A 17,383-nucleotide genomic window follows, 5' to 3' on the forward strand; every position below is an offset into this window, starting at 1 on the left:
GCAGGGAACAGAGATCATGCCACTGCACTCCAGCCTGGGTGACAAAGACCCTGTCTCACAAAAAAAAAAAAAAATTCCTGCCTCAACCACTTATTTATTTATTCACTGTAAAAGCAATGGAAGCTTTCTCTGCCTTAGATTATTTTCTATAAAAAGCTGGTAATAATAGTATCCACCTCATTTGATTGTTAGGAGGATTAAAAGAGATGGCAGACCAGGCGTGCTGGCTCACGCCTGTAATCCCAGCACTTTGTGAGGCCAAGGCAGGTGGATCACTTGAGGTCAGGAGTTTGAGACCAGCCTGGCCAACATGGTGAACCCCCGTCTCTGCTAAAAATGCAAAAGTTAACCAAGCGTGGTGGTGCACGCCTATAATCCCAGCTACCCAGGAGGCTGAGGCAGGAGAATCGCTTGAACCCTGGAGGCGGAGGAGGTTGCATGAGCTGAGATCGAGCCATTGCACTGCGGCCTGGGTGACAAAGTGAGACTCTGTCTCAAAAAAAAAAAAAAAAAAGATGGCATATGGAAAGCACTAGCACAATGTCTGGCGCTTAGTGGTGCTGTCACTGTTCTAAGTGACATGCGGTACCCTTGCAGTGCTGTTGTAGGAGGCTTTCTTTCATGGAGAGTAGGCTGTGGCCCAGATCTAGAATGTCATGGAGTAAAAATATATCTATTTCCATTTCATTTCTAGAGTTGTTTTTTTTTTTCCCTCCCAGGTACTTCACAGTAGACCGGGCAAGCCTTACAGTATGAAACAGAGCAGGTGTGTGTGTGTGTGTGTGTGTGTGTGTGTGTGTGTGTGTGTGTGATGAACATACAGGGGTAAGAAAGGCAAGGATTTTTATTTCAGGTCATAAGAAGGTGATAATTTGTCAAGCACATAGTTCTCAAAGGAAAAGATCATCTCCCTTTATAAACATTGTCACAGGTATGGTACTATTTATAATAAATTCTTGTTTTACGGAGGATTATGGAACTCTGAATTTGTGAGACTTGGTTTTTTAAAGAAAACAAAGAAAATTATACCACTTCTGTTGCATTACTAAGTACAGATGTATTTATATTAGAATTTGGAAAAAATTCACATAATTCATAATTCACCAAAGAAAGTAAGCAGGTGATGGTCCATACCTTTACGCATGGGTGGTCTTGATTGATTAGTATTTATTTATTTACTTACTTTCTTTTTATTTTTTGAGACAGAGCTTCGCTCTCTCACCCAGACTGGAGTGCAGTGGCATGATCTCAGCTCACTGCAAACTCCCCTTCTGGGTTCAAGCGATTCTCCTGCCTCAGCCTCCCGAGTAGCTGGGACTACAGGTGCGTACCACCACACCCGGTTAATATTTGTATTTTTAGTAGAAACAGGGTTTCGCCATGTTGGCCAGGCTGGTCTCGAACTCCTGACCTCAAGTGATCCACCCACCTCGGCCTCCCAAAGTGCTGGGATTGTAGGCGTGAGCCACCACTTCTGGCCAATTGATTACTATTTTTAAAGACAAGGTAGTTGGGATTATGTGATTTTTCCAAAATCACGTGGAAAGTGTAAAGGAAATACTAGAATGTGGGCTTCCTGCCTCTTGATATAAATCAAGCATGTCCAACCCATGGCCTGTGGGCCACATGCGGCCCGGGATGGCTTTGAATGCAGCCCCACACAAATTTGTAATCTTAAAACTTCATGAGATTTTGGCCCGGCGAGGTGGCTCACACCTGTAATCCTAGCACTTTGGGAGGGCGAGGTGGGCAGATCACCTGAGGTCAGGAGTTCCAACTCCTGACCAATATGGCAAAACCCCGTCTCTACTAAAAATGCAGTGCATGGTGGTAACGTGCCTGTAATCCCAGCTACTCGGGAGGTTGAGGCAGGAGAATCACTTAAGCCTGGGAGGCGGAGGGCAGAAGTTGCAGTGAGCCCTGATTGTGCCACTGCACTCCGCCTGGGCAATTGTCTCAAAACTGTCTCAAAACAAACAAAACCACATTATGAGTCTTTTGCATTTTTTTTTTATGAGAAGGAGTCCCTCTCTGTCACCCAGGCTGCAGTGCAGTGGTGTGATCTTGGCTCCCTGCAACCTCCACCTCCCAGGCTCAACCAATTCTCCTGCCTCAGCTTCCCGAGTAGCTGGGACTACAGGCGTGTGCCACCATGCCTGGCTAATTTTTGTATTTTTAATAGAGACAAGTTTTCACCATGTTGCCCAGGCTGCTCTTGAACTCCTGGCCTCATGTGATCCACCTGCCTTGGCCTCCCAAAGTGCTGGGATTACAGGCATGAGCCACCATGCCCAGCAAGTGTTAGTATATTCTGTGTGTGGCCCAAGACAATTCTTCTTCTTCCAATGTGGCCCAGGGAAGCCAAAAGATTGGATACCCCTGACCCCTGATGTAAATGTTTACTCCAATGTTGATGGTAAAGATAGAGCTGGTGGCCAGGCACAGTGGCTCACACCTGTAATCTCAGCACTGGGAGGCCAAAGTAGGCCGATTGCTTGAAACCAGGAGTGTGAGACCAGCCTGGGCAACATGGCAAGACTCCATCTCTATGAAAAAATACAAAAATTACCCAGGCGTGGTGGCATGTGCCTGTGGTCCCAGCTACTCGGGAGGCTGAGGTGGGAGGATCACCTGAGCTTGGGGAAGTGGAGGCTGCAGTGGGCCAAGATCACACCATTGCACTCCAACTTGGGTGACAGAGTGAGAACCAGTCTCAAAAAAAAAAAAAAAAAATATATATATATATATATATATATCTCCCCATATGTGTATATACACACCACATATATACATCATGGAGCCATATATGTATACATACGTATATGTGTGTGTACAATAAATTTGGAGGGCTAGGCGCAGTGGCTCACACCTGTAATCCCAGCACTTTGGGAGGCCGAGGCGGGGGGATCACCTGAGGTTGGGAGTTTGAGACCAGCCTGACCAACATGGGAAACCCCATCTCTACTAAAAATACAAAATTAGCTGGGCGTGGTGGCACATGCCTGTAATCCCAGCTACTTGGGAGGCTGAGGCAAGAGAATCGCTTGAACCTGGGAGGTGGAGGTTGCAGTGAGCCAAGATCACGCCGTTGCACTCCAGCCTGGGCAACAAGAGTGAAACTCCATCTCAAAAAAAAAAAAAAAAAAAAAGATTTGAGCAAAGACATGCAAAGTCACCTTTAAAAAAGGCAGGTCCCCCAGCAGCCCATTTTTTTTTTCCTCCCATCACATTTAAGTCATGTGTATGGGATCATGAAGGAGGTGATAATTTGGGGTTTTGTCAGTGTATGTTTCTGAGAGTGAATGGTTCACAGCTGACGAGTATCCAACAGAACCAGTTACACAGGAGATTGAGGAGTGGCTGTCATGGCTGTGACAGTGCATGATCTCAAGTTTTCAATCTGAGACCTCCTAAGGAAAAAAGGAAAAAAAAAAAAAAAAAGGCAGGCCTCAAGCCAAGACTTGACTTCAAATTGACTGAAGTATAACATAATTGTAGAAATAACAGCTCATTGCGGTTGGAGGGTGAGGAGGAGGTTGGTCAGCCATAAAAACATAATTTTTGTAATTTTTTGTAGAGACAGGATTTTACCATATTGCTCAGGCTGGTCTCAAACTCCTGGGCCTAAGCAATCCACCTGTGTCGGCCTCCCAAAGTGCTAGGATTACAGGCATGAGCCACCATGCCCAGCCTATATGTATGTTTTAAAGTGTGGTTCTCAGACAGCAATTTTATTTCTCTATTTCCAGAGATTTTTCAGGGCGATTTTATGATTAACTCCATATACAGCTTAATATGTCAAAAAGACCTGACTTAAATTTTTTTCTTGAAACAGCCTTTAACATATGTCAAAAATATAATATATTCCTGATACTTGTGTCCAAGCAGATATAAGTTCTAAATAGGGCAAAGGATCTAATGAATGCTTGATGTCCTCAAATGTGCTATGATTTACCATCTGTCAAGATGAAAATACACCCATGTATATGCAGCTATTTAAAGTATCATAGGCTGGGTGCAGTGGCTCACACCTATAATCCCAGTACTTTGGAAGGCTGAGGTGGGTGGATCACTTGAGGTCAGGAGTTTGAGACCAGCCTGGCAAACATGGCAAAACCCCATCTCTACTAAAAATACAAAAATTAGCTGGGTGTGGTGGTACATGCCTGTAATCCCAGCTACTTGGGAGGCTTAGGCAGAATTGCTTTAACTCAGGAGGCGGAGGTTGCAGTGAGCCGAGATGGCACCACTGCACTCCGGCCTGGGAGACAGAGCAAGAAAGAAAGAAAAGAACGGAAAGAAATAAAAGAAAGAAATAAAGGAAAGGAAGGAAGGAAGGATAGAGAAAGAAGGAAGGAAGGGAAGAAAGAGAGAGAAAGAAAGAAAAGAAAGAATCATAATGGGGTCAGGCGTGGTGGCTCATGCCTTGTAATCCCAGCACTTTGGGAGGCTGAGGTGGGTGGATCATGTGAGGTCAGGAGTTGGAGACCAGCCTGGCCAACATGGTGAAACTCTGTCTCTACTAAAAATACAAAAATTAGCTGGGTGTGGTCGTGGGTGCCTGTAATCCCAGCTACTGGGCTGAGGCAGGAGAATTGCTTGAACCAGGAGGCGGAGGTTGTAGTGAGCCAAGATTGTGCCATTGCACTCCAGCCCGGGTGACAAAGCAAGACTCCATCTCAAAAAAGAAAAATAAATAAAATAAAGTATCATAATGGGCTGGGAATAGTGGCTCACGCTTGTAATCCCAGCACTTTGGGAGGCCGTGGTAGAAGTATCACTTGAGGACAGGAGTTAATGTTGTCCTGAAAAGATGGGCTTCAGAGGGAATTGAAGGAGAGGAAGTTGAAGAGGAAGCACTAGTCCACATAGCAAGATCCCATCTCTGTGAGAAAAAAAAAAAAGTATAATAATGGAGAAATTCCAGCACATGAATCAAACAGGATGTTGCAGATTCTAAACATGAATCCAATGTACTGTCAAAACTGTACAAGGATAACTTAGATTTTTTTTCCTGAAGCCTTCCTTCATTGAATAATTATAATGAACATTGTAGATGTGGTAATTATCTGTAAATATGTCTCCTTATGAAAGCAAAAACTGGATATAATGAACCTAAAGCAATTTGTTTAACTTGTAAGATGTCTGTCCAAAAAGTAGCAAATTTGGCTCCACTGTCATTTATAGTTTTGGTTATAAAAATGGATTTATGTTGGACGGAGAACAGCATGCTCTACATTCACACATAACAAACTACACTTTATTGTGGTTCCTGAGCAAAGCCAGCTTCTCCATGCCCTCTGGGGTGGTGTGAGAGGGGGAAGCTGGAATCTGAATGGGAAAAATTCTTCATGGTGGGGGAGAGCTGCTAGCCTCTGATGCCTGCTGCTGTCACATCTCAAACTTCTCCAAAAGACTTGAGCGTAGAAAGCTAATGAACTTAGGCCGGGCACGGTGGCTCACACCTATAATCCCAGCACTTTGGGAGGCTGAGGCAGGTAGATCAGTTGAGCTCAGGAGTTTGAGACCAGCCTGGGCAACGTGACGATACCCTATCTCTCAAAGAAATACAAAAATTAGCTGAGTGTGGTGGCATGTACCTGTAGTTCCAGCTACTCAGGAGGCTGAAGCAGGAGGACAGATTCAGCCCAGGGGGGCTGCAGTTAGCTGTGATCATACCACTGCACTCCAGCCTGGGAGACAGAACATTACACTGGTCTGAAAAAAAAAAAAAAAGAAAAGAAAAGCTAATGAACTTAGAAATAAAGTTTCTATTGTAGAAAAACTTAATAGCTGTTATCAGTATTGACTTTGTCAATTTCAAGAAACTGTATAGCACAAAGAATTCTTGGTAAGAGGAGACCATAAAGGGAGATGAAAACTGTAGCGGGAGTCTTACAATGCCACAGTTTTGGTGATCTGATAGCCAAATGCCTTTCCTCTGATTGAATGAGTTGTGCACACAATAAATTTGAGGAAGATCCTGGGCTAACTTGTAAAACAAGCTCAGATTAGCTGTGGCTATTAAAAAATCAGTCATAGTTTTCACTAGAGAAGGGAGATATTTCTGTCTGATTTTCAGGATGGTTGATTACTCAAGTATCCTCTTTCGTAAATGTATTCTTCCTCATTTTCTGATCAGTTTTGGTTGTGCAAAAAGAAAACAGTGGTTTTATTTCATGCCAGCAGAAATGTGGTTATTTTGTGGTATGTTTTACAAACACTTTAAGATCACTTATGTTTATGTATATACACATTTGGTCTATCGTAAAAAATTTACATTTTAAGTTTTAAAAGATTTCTCATAATACAGGACACTTCCCCCATGTATTTCATATAAACCATAAGTTTTAATGTTTCATATTTATAAAATAAGAAGCCTTTATAATTTCAAAATAAATACCCACGGTGAATTTGGTGGAGAGGAAGCAGTCATTTAGAAGAGCAAGCCCACATACATGCAAAAGAAAGCAATTAAGAGGCCAAGGACAGGGTTGTTTCGAAAGGATATTTAAAACTAGATGAAAGATATTTGGACCTTCAAAAATGCCCTAGAAACTGAATGAAAGCAACAGCCTTCTGTCTTTTGTCAGAGCTCTGACTCATAGACCTGTTATTGGAAGGACATTATTTAGTTGAAATATATATTTAAAAATACTTATATTCCTTTAAGTAGCTTATACTGTATGTGAAGATGTCTTTTAAGGATTCAGAAGCACAGGCAGAAGGATCTGTATAAATACAGAAGTGGGCTGGGCGTGGTGGCTCACGCCTGTAATCCCAGCACTTTGGGAGGCTGAGGCGGGGTGGATCACCTGAGGTTGGGAGTTCGAGACCAGCCTGACCTACATGGAGAAACCGCCTCTCTACTAAAAATACAAAAAAAATCAGCCAGGCATGGTGGCGCATGCCTGTAATCCCAGCTACTCAGGAGGCTGAGGCAGGAGAATCGCTTGAACCCGGGAGGCGGAGCTTGCAGTGAGCCGAGATCCCGCCATTGCACTCCAGCCTGGGTAACAAGAGTGAAAGTCCATCTTGAAAAAATAAAAATAAAAAAAAAGCACAACTTAGGTGGTACAAAACATGTGTATTAAAATGCCTAATTTAGAGGCCAGGCATGGTAGCTCATGCCTGTAATCCTGGCACTTTGGGAGGTCGAGGCAGGCAGATCACTTGAGTCCAGGAGTTCAAGACCAGCCTGGGCAACATGGCGAACTGTGTCTCTATAAGATAACATAAAAAACTAGCCGGGCATGGTGGTGTGTGCCTGTAGCCCCAGCTACTTGGGGGGCTGAGGTGGGAGGATCGCTTGAGCTAGGAGGCGGAGGTTGCAGTGAGCTGAGATTGTGCAACTGCACTCCAGCCTGGGCAACAGAGACCCTGTCTCAAAAAATAATAATTAAATAAAATAAAATGCCTAATTCACACAGTTCTGTTGGAGAAACTGATTCATTTGGTGGAGCCCAGGATTTAGGTTGAAGGACTCTCCCTAATTAATTTGTCTTATAGTAGACTAAGTTTAAAGTAGATGGCTGTTCATCTCTTGGACTGCTTAAGTAACTTGTCCAAGGAGAGCTAGGTTTACATCTGCCTTATGATTCCATAATAACCACCACAGCTACTATCTGAGAGCTGACTATATATATAGGGGATTGTGCTGACAGCTGCCCAGACAACTCATTTCGTTTTCTCCAGGACTCTGTGAGTGTATGTGAGGGACACTGGGATTCCTCACATTCTAGAAGGCTCTGATGAGCAGTCGGAGGTAGCAGGTGGGACTCTACTCCAGAGGTTGAGCTCGGACACTGGAGTGGACACTGGACCAGATTAAGAACTAGCCAAAACAGGGCCTGGGCGAAAGTAGTTTTAATCAGACATGCTCACCAGTGTGCCATGTCGATTTACCACTGCCATGGCAACACTCGACAGTTACTGTCACTTTCCATGGCAGTGATCCAATGACCTAGGAGTTACTGCCCATTCCCTAGAAATTTCTGCATAAACAGCTCTTTAATCTACATGCAATTATTTATTTATTTATTTATTTTTTGAGACAGAGTCCTGCTCCATTGCCCAGGCTGGAGTGCAGTGACATGCGATCTCGGCTCACTGCAACCTCTGCCGCCCGGGTTCAAGCGACTCCTGCCTCAGCCTCCTGTGTAGCTGGGATTACAGGCGCCTGCCACCACACCTGGCTATTTTTTGTATGTTTAGTAGAGATGGGGTTTCACCATGTTGGCCAGGCTGGTCTCGAACATCTGACCTCATGATCCACCCACCTCAACCTTCCAAAGTGCAGGGATTATAGGCATGAGCCACCATGCCCAGCCTCCCACTTTTAGTTTCAAGTACAGGCTGGGTACAGTGGCTCTCGCCTATAATCCCAGCACTTTGGGAGGTCGAGGCAGGCAGATCATGAGGTCAGGAATTCGAGACCGCCTGGCCAACATGGTGAAACCCCGTCTCTACTCAACATAGAAAAATTAGTTGGATGTGGTGGCGCATGCCTGTAGTCCCAGCTACTCAGGAGGCTGAGGCAGGAGAGTCACTTGAACCTGGGAGGCGGAGGTTGCAGTGAGCTGAGATCGTGCCACTGCACTCCAGCCTGGCGACAGAGCGAGACTCCATCTCAAAAAAAAAAAAAAAAAAGTGGGTATAAATATGGCTACAGAACTGAACTACCCTCAGCTGCTACTCTCTCCCTATGGGGTAGCCCTGCTCTGCAGGAGCAGTCATGGAGCTGTAACACAGCCTCTTCAATATAGCTGTTTTCTTCTACCTCTGGCTTGCCTTTGAATTCCTTCCTGATAAAGCCAAGAACCCAGAGGGCTAAGCACCACTTTGGGACTTGCCTGTCCTGCACTATCTCCATTTCTGTTGTCACAATTATTGGGGATACCTGTAGTCCAGGAGGAACTTGGGAAATCTGGAAGCTTTCAAGTTTGGCAAGGGGATGTCAAAATGACCACAAAGCACATTTCCTCAAGGCAGCTTTCCCTGAACACTCTCCTTCCCTCATGCCCTCCACGCCTAATTAAGTCAGATCTGTCCAAGTTCTCGTAACAGTATACAAATCCTTTCTCGCTCTCAGCAGTTTGTAATTATGTATTCGGGTCAGTCTCCTTACTAGACGGTAAGCTCTATGAAGGTGAGACATTGTGTTTATTTTGCTTTCTATTCCCGTAAATCCAGGGCCTGGTATATTCCATGTACCCAATAAATATTTATTGCATATGTGAAAGTGGCATTTCTTTGTCTTTTGGTTAATATTGCTGACATAAACAAACAGATGTGCGAATGATGAGGGAGGAAATCATGGGAGTTCAAAAGGTTCTGTAAGCAGGTGAAATGCCCTGGCGGGTACAGACTGGGTACATAGGTGAGCCAGCTGGGAAGAATTTTATATATCAGAGGGGAAAAGACTTTCCTACTAAAAAGACAGGCATCTTTGACAAGTAGGTAACTTGAGTTTACTCCCTGAGTTTTATTTTATTTTTTGAGACATGGTCTTGTGCTGTCACCCAGGCTGGAGTGCAGTGCTGTGGTCATGGCTCACTGTAGCCTCGACCTCCCAGGCTCAGTTGATGCTCCTGCCTCAGCCTTCTGAGTAGCTGGGTGTATAGGCACACACCACCTCACCTGACTAATTTTTGTAGTTTTTTTTTTTTTTTTTTTTTTTTTTGGGTAGACACAGGATTTTGTCATGTTGCCCAGGCTGGTGTGGAACTCCTGGGCTCAAGCCATCTGCCTGCCTCAGGCTCCCAAAGTGCTGGGATTGTAGACATGAGCCACTGTGCCCAGCTGATTTTGCTTTTAGGTTTGAATTTTTTTTTTATAGTTCTGTGTTTATTTGTTTTACTTTGTTTTTGGAGACAGACTTTTGCTCTGTCAGCCAAGCTGGAGTGCAGTGGTGCGATCTCAGATCATTGCAACCTCTGCCTCCTGGGTGCAAGTGATTCTCATGCCTCAGCCTACCAAGTACCTGCACAACCACACCCAGCTAATTTTTGTATTTTTAGTAGAGATGGGGTTTCAACATGTTGTCCAGGCTGGTCTTGGATTCCTGGCCTCAAATGATCTTCCCACCTCAGCCTAGTTTTGTGTTTTATATTCTTTTCCCCACTCAGTTTGAAATGTCATGAGGATAGACACATGTGTGAAGATAGACACATTATTAAGAGATGCTATCGTCATGGGTTCTAAGAGAATGTTTTACAGAGAGTAGCTTTGCAGAGACCAAAGTCTCTGACAGATCATCAGACATTAGATTCTTACAGGATGGCCACCTAGATCCCTCACGTGGGCATTTTACATTAGGACTGAGCATCTTTATTATGATAACTTTGGTTGATGTTTTGCAGTTTAAAAAACTCTCAGATCATCTAATTCTCACACACGTCTTGTGAAGCAGACAGCTCAGAACCATGGCTCTTAGTTTACAGATGAGGAAAGAGAGGCTCAGATGAGGTTGATTTACCCAAGTTAAAGTGAAAACAAATTAACATTTTTTGAGTGTTTACTAAATGTTGAGGCACTTATTAAGCCCTTTATATTTATAGTATATAACATGATATTCACTGCATCCTTATGAAATAGGTAACCATTATTATTATTTCCATTTTACAGATGAGGAAACAGACATGTAGAGGTCAAATAATTTGCCTCAAATTGCATAATCAAGAAGCATAGAGCCCAGCTTAAAACCCAGATAGTCTGGCTCAAAGTGCAGATGATAAACTACCATGCTAATGAGTAGCACTGGGAGTTCTCCAATGAAGCACACGATGTTACTTGTATTTGCTACTAACGTCTTCTTTTTTTTGAGATGGAGTCTCACTCTGTCACCCAGGCTGGAGTGCAGTGGTGTGATCTCAGCTCACTGCAACTTCCACCTCTCAGGTTCAAGCAATTCTCCTGCATCAGCCTCATGAGCAGCTGGGATTGCAGGTGCAGGCCATCACCCCTGGCTAATTTTTTTTGTATTTTTAGTAGAGACCGGGTTTCACCATGTTGGCCAGGCTGGTCTCAAACTCCTGACCTTGTGATCCACCCACCTCAATCTCCCAAAGTGCTGGGATTACAGGTGTGAGCCACCGCACCTGGCCAACTACTAACATCTTCTAACCCCTGGTTCAATTCTGCTACTTGAGGCTTTTTTTTTTTTTTTTTTTTTTGAGATGGAGTTTCACTGTGTTGCCCAGCCTGGAGTACAGTGGCATGATCTCAGCTCACTGCGGCCTCTGCCTCCTGGGTTCAAGCGATTCTCCTGTGTCAGCCTCCTGAGTAGCTGGGATTACAAGCATGAGCCATGGTGCCTGGCCTAGGCTACTAATTTTTTTTTTTTCAAAGCTGTCTGCAGTTTTGCCTTGACTTAGAATTCATCAACTGGAGCCCACAGTGATATCATTGCACAGGATTGAAGTTGTATCAACTAAATTCAGATAAAGATCTCCTACGTTAATTAATTAAACAAATTGTTGAGTACATTTGCTAATTTTGTTAGAGGTGCTCATTGCTTAATAACTACAGGACACATTCTATTGAATATACTGGGAAAAAGCTGTATCTTTCTCTGAAGGTATACAAAACAATATTAAGAAGCATAAAAAATATCTGTCCATAAAAACATGATTATGGCCAGGTGCAGTGGCTCACGCCTGTAATCCTAGCACTTTGGGAGGCTGCAGCAGGCGGATCACGAGGTCAGGAGTTTGAGACCAGCCTGGCCAACATGGTGAAACCCCATCTCTACTAAAAATACAAAAAATAGCCAGGCGTGGTGGCAGGTGCCTATAATCCCAGCTACTCAGGAGGCTGAGGCAGGAGAATTGCTTGAACCCGAGAGGCAGAGGTTGCAGCAAGCCGAGATCGTGCCACTGCACTCCAGCCTGGGCAACAGAGCAAGACTCCATCTCGGGAAAAAAAAAGTGATTATATGAGTTATTTTTATTTTTATTTTTTGATACAGGGTCACCCAAGCTGGAGTGCAGTGGCACAATCTCAGTTCACTGCAGCCTCAGCCTCCCAGGCTCAGGTGATCCTCCCACCTCAGCCTCCTGAGTAGATGGGTCTACAGGTGCATGTCACCACGCCTGTCTTATTTTTGTATTTTTTGTAGACACGGGGTTTCTCCATGTTGCCCAGGCTGGCCTTGAACTCCTGGGCTCAAGCCATCCACCTGCCTTGGCTTCCCAAAGTGCTGGGATTACAAGCATGAGCCACCCTGCCTGGTCTATATGAGTTCTTTTTAAATCATTATCTCTTCAAGGAGATAACAATCATCAATAGGTTTTGTACAGATCCAAACTCTCTGCTTGTGGATTCTCTTAACATGATACTTTGTAATTGAAAAGAGAATATGAAAATGCCAAGCTTTGTAACTTCAAAGAACAACAATAACAAAAAGCCTTTGCCTAGAGATCTAGATAGGAAAGTGATCCCGCCAAAATTTTGGGCCTGTGTACAGGGCTGTGACCCAAGTGGGACACCTGGGGTCAATGAGCAGAGTTCGGTGCAGAGGGTCATTTGTGTATCTTTTGAATATTACTAACTGCATCTCAAGATCATGTTAGAACGAGTATTGGCTATTTGGCTTTTTGTGTCATCTTGCCCCTTCCCGTCTCCATTATGGAGAATTGAGGTTTTAATATACGGTAGTGACATTCTAGTAGATGAAGGAAGGGGGCTGTCCCCAGTGGGCAATCTGAACTTCTGCTTCGTATATTTACTCTTGCTGTTTTCGTTTCTCCTCATTTGTAATTCAGGAGGCTCTCTGAGAAGAGACAGCAAAGCTTCTTAGATGGATCGAAAGACCACGAGCTGGGATACCAAGTTCTATGAAAAGGTCAGCTATTGAATTTACTCTGCTACCTTCAGGCAAATCATTTGATCATCGGATGCTCTGGTTTCTTCCTGTGCCTGCTAAATGTAAATAGCATGGGTTTGAGTGTTTGGTGGTTATTATAGAGTATTTTAAATGTATGAGTGATTTATTTTTCTAGGCCAGCTGCTCAGATATAAAACAAAATCTGCTCCTTTGAGCTGTTAGGCTTCGTGGCAGTCAACTGACCCCAAAATCCTTCTGACTACAGCAGCCATCTACTTGCTTGTTCATCTGATAACATTTTGCAGTCTCTCAGCTACAGCTATGTGGTCTCACTCTATAGCTGGGGCATACCTTTTTGTCTCCTTTGTCTTCAGAAAGGAAATATGCCATTTTATGCACTCCTGCTGCTTTCACCCCCACTTTAAAAAGATGAAGGCTTCCTTTTGTGACAGAGTTGCTTTGTCTGTTACACTGATCCTAAGAGACAGGAAGGAGAGGTGTCATAGTAAATAAACAGTTATTGGACTTGCTACCATAGTTCCTTTTTGATGACTTGGGCCAGGACCACTAGAGGTTTGAACTAGATTTAGTAAGGCTTGGGCTTTTCGGGGTTTTGGCAGGAAGCAGTCAGGGAGTATATTGGAAAGAGAGAACACAAAATACCGAACCCCACCCACCCTGTGCCTTTTTGTTTGTTGTTACAGCCTGTTACATTAGGCAACAAGATATCCTTGTTAGCCAAAGGTGCCAAGCTGAGATTCTTAAAAGCTAATGAAAGAGCTGTTGGGCCAGGTGCGGTGGCTCACGCCTGTAATCCCAGCACTTTGGGAGGCCGAGGCAGGCGGATCACGAGGTCAAGAGATGGAGACCATCCTGGCCAACATGGTGAAATCCCGTCTCTACGAAAAACACAAAAATTAGCTGGGCATGGTGGCGCGCACCCGTAGTCCCAGCTGCTCGGGAGGCTGAGGCAGAAGAATTGCTTGAACCCGGGAGGCGGAGTTTGAAGTGAGCCGAGATCGAGCCACTGCACTCCAGCCTGGAGACAGAGCGAGACTCCACTCCGTTTCAAAAAAAAAAAAAAAAAAAAGCTGTTGGGTAAGGAATGATTTTGTTCCCCATCTGTGGCTCACCACCCCACTGTTTCATAAATGAAAATCTCTGATGTGCAACGCTGAATTAACCAAAAGGCTTACTTCTTTTGTTTTGAACTTAGACACATTTACATTATTTCTGGTGCAGTTAAATTAAAAGCACTTTCCAAACAAACCTAGGAAAGTATTAAAGTTAGGGACTCCCACGAAATGTTACTCCTTAATTGTGGCTTGGATAATAGCAGGAAGAACTGCAGACAGGAACACAGTGTAACTAACCCTTCAGTTCTGAAATGTTGCTAGGTCTCCTCGTGTTATAAATGATCAAATAAATATCCGGGTTAAACACTGCTCCCAGAGCTGAGTTCACTCTTAAGAGTGTTGGGTCCAACTTCCCTGTGCTAATTCAAGGAAACAAGGCAGCCAAGGAGTCTAACTTGAGGTCTTCATTCTTGGGCAGGGCCATCAATACATCTAAAACATTACTTGTGGGTACCCCAGCTGCGGTAGCTTCCCCAAAAGGCAGAATTTTCACTCATTCTTTATAGAAACACGTAGCCAGCAACTTCTCAGGCTTGGGGAACGGGGCAGGCGGGTCGTGGTGGTGGGGAGAGTAGAGGAGGGAGTCTGGCAGGTCGGTTCTAAATGTAAACTGGAAACTACGCATCCGAGCGGGCAACCATCACTGGCACCATTCGTCTCCGGGAAGAACCTGTGTGTGTCAGGATGCACGAAAGGAATGACTCCCCTCTTTGCGCCCCCGGGGTTAACTGCACGACCCTGTCAAAGTCCCGCCGTGGAGTGGGATGAGGGTCGAGAGGTAACCCTGTCAAAGTCCCGCCGTGGAGTGGGATGAGGCGAGGAAAGACTGGAGGTCCTTCCAGCACCACCTTGGAGGGGCAGGGAGGCTGCAGTTACCGCCTTCGGAAGTGATCTCCTCAGCCCTCAAAAAAATTAAAACCACCTCCGCCATTTACTAGAGGCCAAGGCAGGGCCGGGACACGAGAACGCGCTCCGGGCGGATGCGCGCTCCCTTTGTCCCGCCTCCCAGCGGCCCGCTCATTGGACGGAGGGAGGGCGCCGGGGGAGAAAGCGACGCGGCCGCTCGTAAGTGCTCCGGATGGAAACTGGTGCAGGGGGCAGCGGCGTTCCGCGGCCGGAAGGGAAGGGGGAGGTGCCGAGGCTGCGCGCCGGCTGCTCCTCCCCACCCCCAGCCTTTGCCCTGAAGGGGGCTGGATGGGCAAGGCGGCCGCGATGGCTCGAGCTCGGGCGGTGGCGGCGGTGGCCGGAGGCGGCGGTGCCTCCTCCTCCTCGCCCCGGCGCCGGCGGTGATCCGAGCGAGCGGCCGCGGCCCCCGATGAGACTGCTGGCGGGCTGGCTGTGCCTGAGCCTGGCGTCCGTGTGGCTGGCGCGGAGGATGTGGACGCTGCGGAGCCCGCTCACCCGCTCCCTGTACGTGAACATGACTAGCGGCCCGGGTGGGCCGGCGGCGGCCGCGGGCGGCAGGAAGGAGAACCACCAGGTACGGGCTGGGGCCGGGGCCGGGGCGGGGGCGTGGCGGCCCGGCCTTCCCGCGCTGGGCCCGGCTATTGTGCGGGACGGCTCCGCGAGGGGGCGGCCCGGCCCTCGCCCCTCCGCCTCGGCCCCTTGGAAAGTTTTCCCCGCGCCTTCCCCGCCGGGCGTCGACTCCGCGAGCCCCGGGCACCCGGCCGCGGCCCCGCGAGCGCCTTTTGTTCCGCAGCGCAGGCGGGGCATGGCCTCCCGGGCCCGATCGTGAGCGGCCCGGAGCCCCGCATTGTTCCTGGGTCCCGGGCGGTGACTGCGGACGCCCGGCAGCGGGACTGGGGAACTTTGGGGCCAGAGCGTGGCTGGGGGCGCCCGCCTGGCACCGAGGCCTGAGACTGAAGAGACCCGGCCAGATCCATTACCCCGAGAAACAAAACGAAAAGCCAGCCCCTCTTGTTGTCTCGTTGAATCCCAGAACGTACAAAGGGTCGTGAAGAAATGTAACTGTACATCGCAAGCCATTGAACTCTCCAGGCTGATTGGGGTGACATTTCTCCCTAAGCACTTAAAAAATGGGTTTGACAGGTTGTCGCTCCCATCCTACGGAACCTTCCCCTCCTACCTAGCAGAGATCTCCTTTAAACTTGGATTTAGTCAGCCTGCTAGAAAGATTGTGTGTGATGAGGAGGAAGATTATGCAAGTTTTACAGGAAGGGTTTTTAAAACAGAACGGGACGGGAGGGAGTTTTAGTTATGCATCGTGAGCGTTACGCTGTGACCGGGTAGGTAGGCTTTTCATTAGCTCAGTCTTGCGCCACTTAAACGTGTACAGGTTAACTGTAGAATTAAGTGAGATATTTCGTATATGACCTTAACATAGTTTGCAGTTAATGTTAAATTCATTGAAAAGAGGCTTTTGAACTCTGCCAGAGTGTTGGCTTGTCATAGCTAGCATTTATAATACATTTTGCTTTTCCATAGAGTATTAATTATTCCCTATATCATCTTGTGTCTCATCATTTTCATATATTTCTCATTTTCCTACATTACTTTTTTATTATGCCAGGTGTTCAGAGAATTTACACCCAGGTTGATTTCATGTGTTTTAATGAGGGTAGAGAATTGTCTAAGAAGGAGATAGAGCAATTTAGAAAAGTAGCATTTAGTCTTTAGTAATATGTATATTGGGCTTTTTTCTATTGTTAAAGGAATCCTAAATTTCTGTAAATTTTTTTGAAAGCCTCCAGCCATTGCAGTTTGTTAGGTGCAATATCAGTATCATTGATCACTTGTATGATATGGTTAGGAATGTATGTAAACTTAAATTGCAAAACCACATTTATTCCTATGGATTATTTGCTTACACTAGTTCATTCTTATAGAGACAACTCAAAGGTACTGTACCGTTGACTGTACAGTTACCAGAATGTCACATATGGAACAATGGGGTAGACAATGAATTAGAAATGTCATTTTTAACATTTTTAAGCAGTTGATAGAAATAAGGTCCTGGATAGGAGAAAAAGCGATTTATCTCCATTGATGGGGGATTATGGTTGAGTCTCTTAGCTATTGGTATTTATAACACTTATCATGATTACCCCTACTGCAGCCACTTGGTAGGTTTTTAGTGCTCATAAAAGAATTGCACTTATTTTAAAATTGAAACACTATTTCAACACTGTGATGTGTATGGAGGCGGAATTGCAGCTGTAGACATAGCCTCAGAATATCTCCCAGCAGAGGATACTTTCTGACTGTACCTTTTAAAAGCTGAATCTGTTAAGTTCTAATGAAAACTAATACTGGTTTCAGATACGTTTATTTCAGATACCGTATTTATATTCTGTGTGTGTGTGTGTGTGTGTGTGTGTGTGTGTACCCCTTCACTAACAATTCAGCAGATAATTTCTTTAGGGTGAAGACTTAATATGGTGTTTTCTGAATATTTGGGGGA

At 45.5% G+C, this 17,383-nt stretch overlaps 1 protein-coding gene and 1 long non-coding RNA gene across 5 annotated transcripts in view, besides 2 other annotated features; one reads left to right on the forward strand and one right to left on the reverse strand.

The window, feature by feature from the left end:
• Nucleotides 1-5,241: 5,241 nt before the first annotated feature.
• On the reverse strand, nt 5,242-14,929 carry LOC101927814 (uncharacterized). The gene is made up of 3 exons (NR_110930.1): nt 14,200-14,929; nt 13,178-13,303; nt 5,242-5,718 (listed from the first exon to the last, which is right to left on the reverse strand). It is a non-coding gene; the product is annotated as an uncharacterized LOC101927814 (long non-coding RNA).
• METTL9 (methyltransferase 9, His-X-His N1(pi)-histidine) overlaps nt 12,752-17,383 on the forward strand; it is a 60,264-nt gene continuing 55,632 nt past the window's right edge. For 2 of the 4 annotated variants that reach the window (NM_001288659.2, NM_001288660.2), the window contains exon 1: nt 12,752-12,844. In NM_001288659.2, coding sequence (NP_001275588.1) covers nt 12,800-12,844 — 45 coding nt within the window. In that variant the 5' untranslated portion in view covers nt 12,752-12,799. Of the gene's footprint in view, nt 12,845-15,120; nt 15,443-17,383 lie in introns of those variants that run through there. The other 2 variants (NM_016025.5, NM_001077180.3) reach the window with 1 other exon arrangement.
• Nucleotides 15,108-15,727: a silencer, noted in NCBI's record as "silent region_7257". NCBI's record gives its function as "represses an Ori minimal core promoter by ATAC-STARR-seq in GM12878 lymphoblastoid cells {active_cell/tissue: GM12878}" and the evidence as "EXISTENCE:reporter gene assay evidence [ECO:0000049][PMID:35858748]".
• Nucleotides 15,836-16,400: an enhancer, noted in NCBI's record as "H3K27ac hESC enhancer chr16:21611613-21612177 (GRCh37/hg19 assembly coordinates)". NCBI's record gives its function as "activates a minimal SCP1, AML or CMV promoter by ChIP-STARR-seq in primed H9 embryonic stem cells {active_cell/tissue: H9 hESC(primed)}" and the evidence as "EXISTENCE:reporter gene assay evidence [ECO:0000049][PMID:30033119]".

This window comes from Homo sapiens, chromosome 16 (genome assembly GCF_000001405.40).
Source record: "Homo sapiens chromosome 16, GRCh38.p14 Primary Assembly".
NCBI lineage: Eukaryota > Metazoa > Chordata > Mammalia > Primates > Hominidae > Homo > Homo sapiens.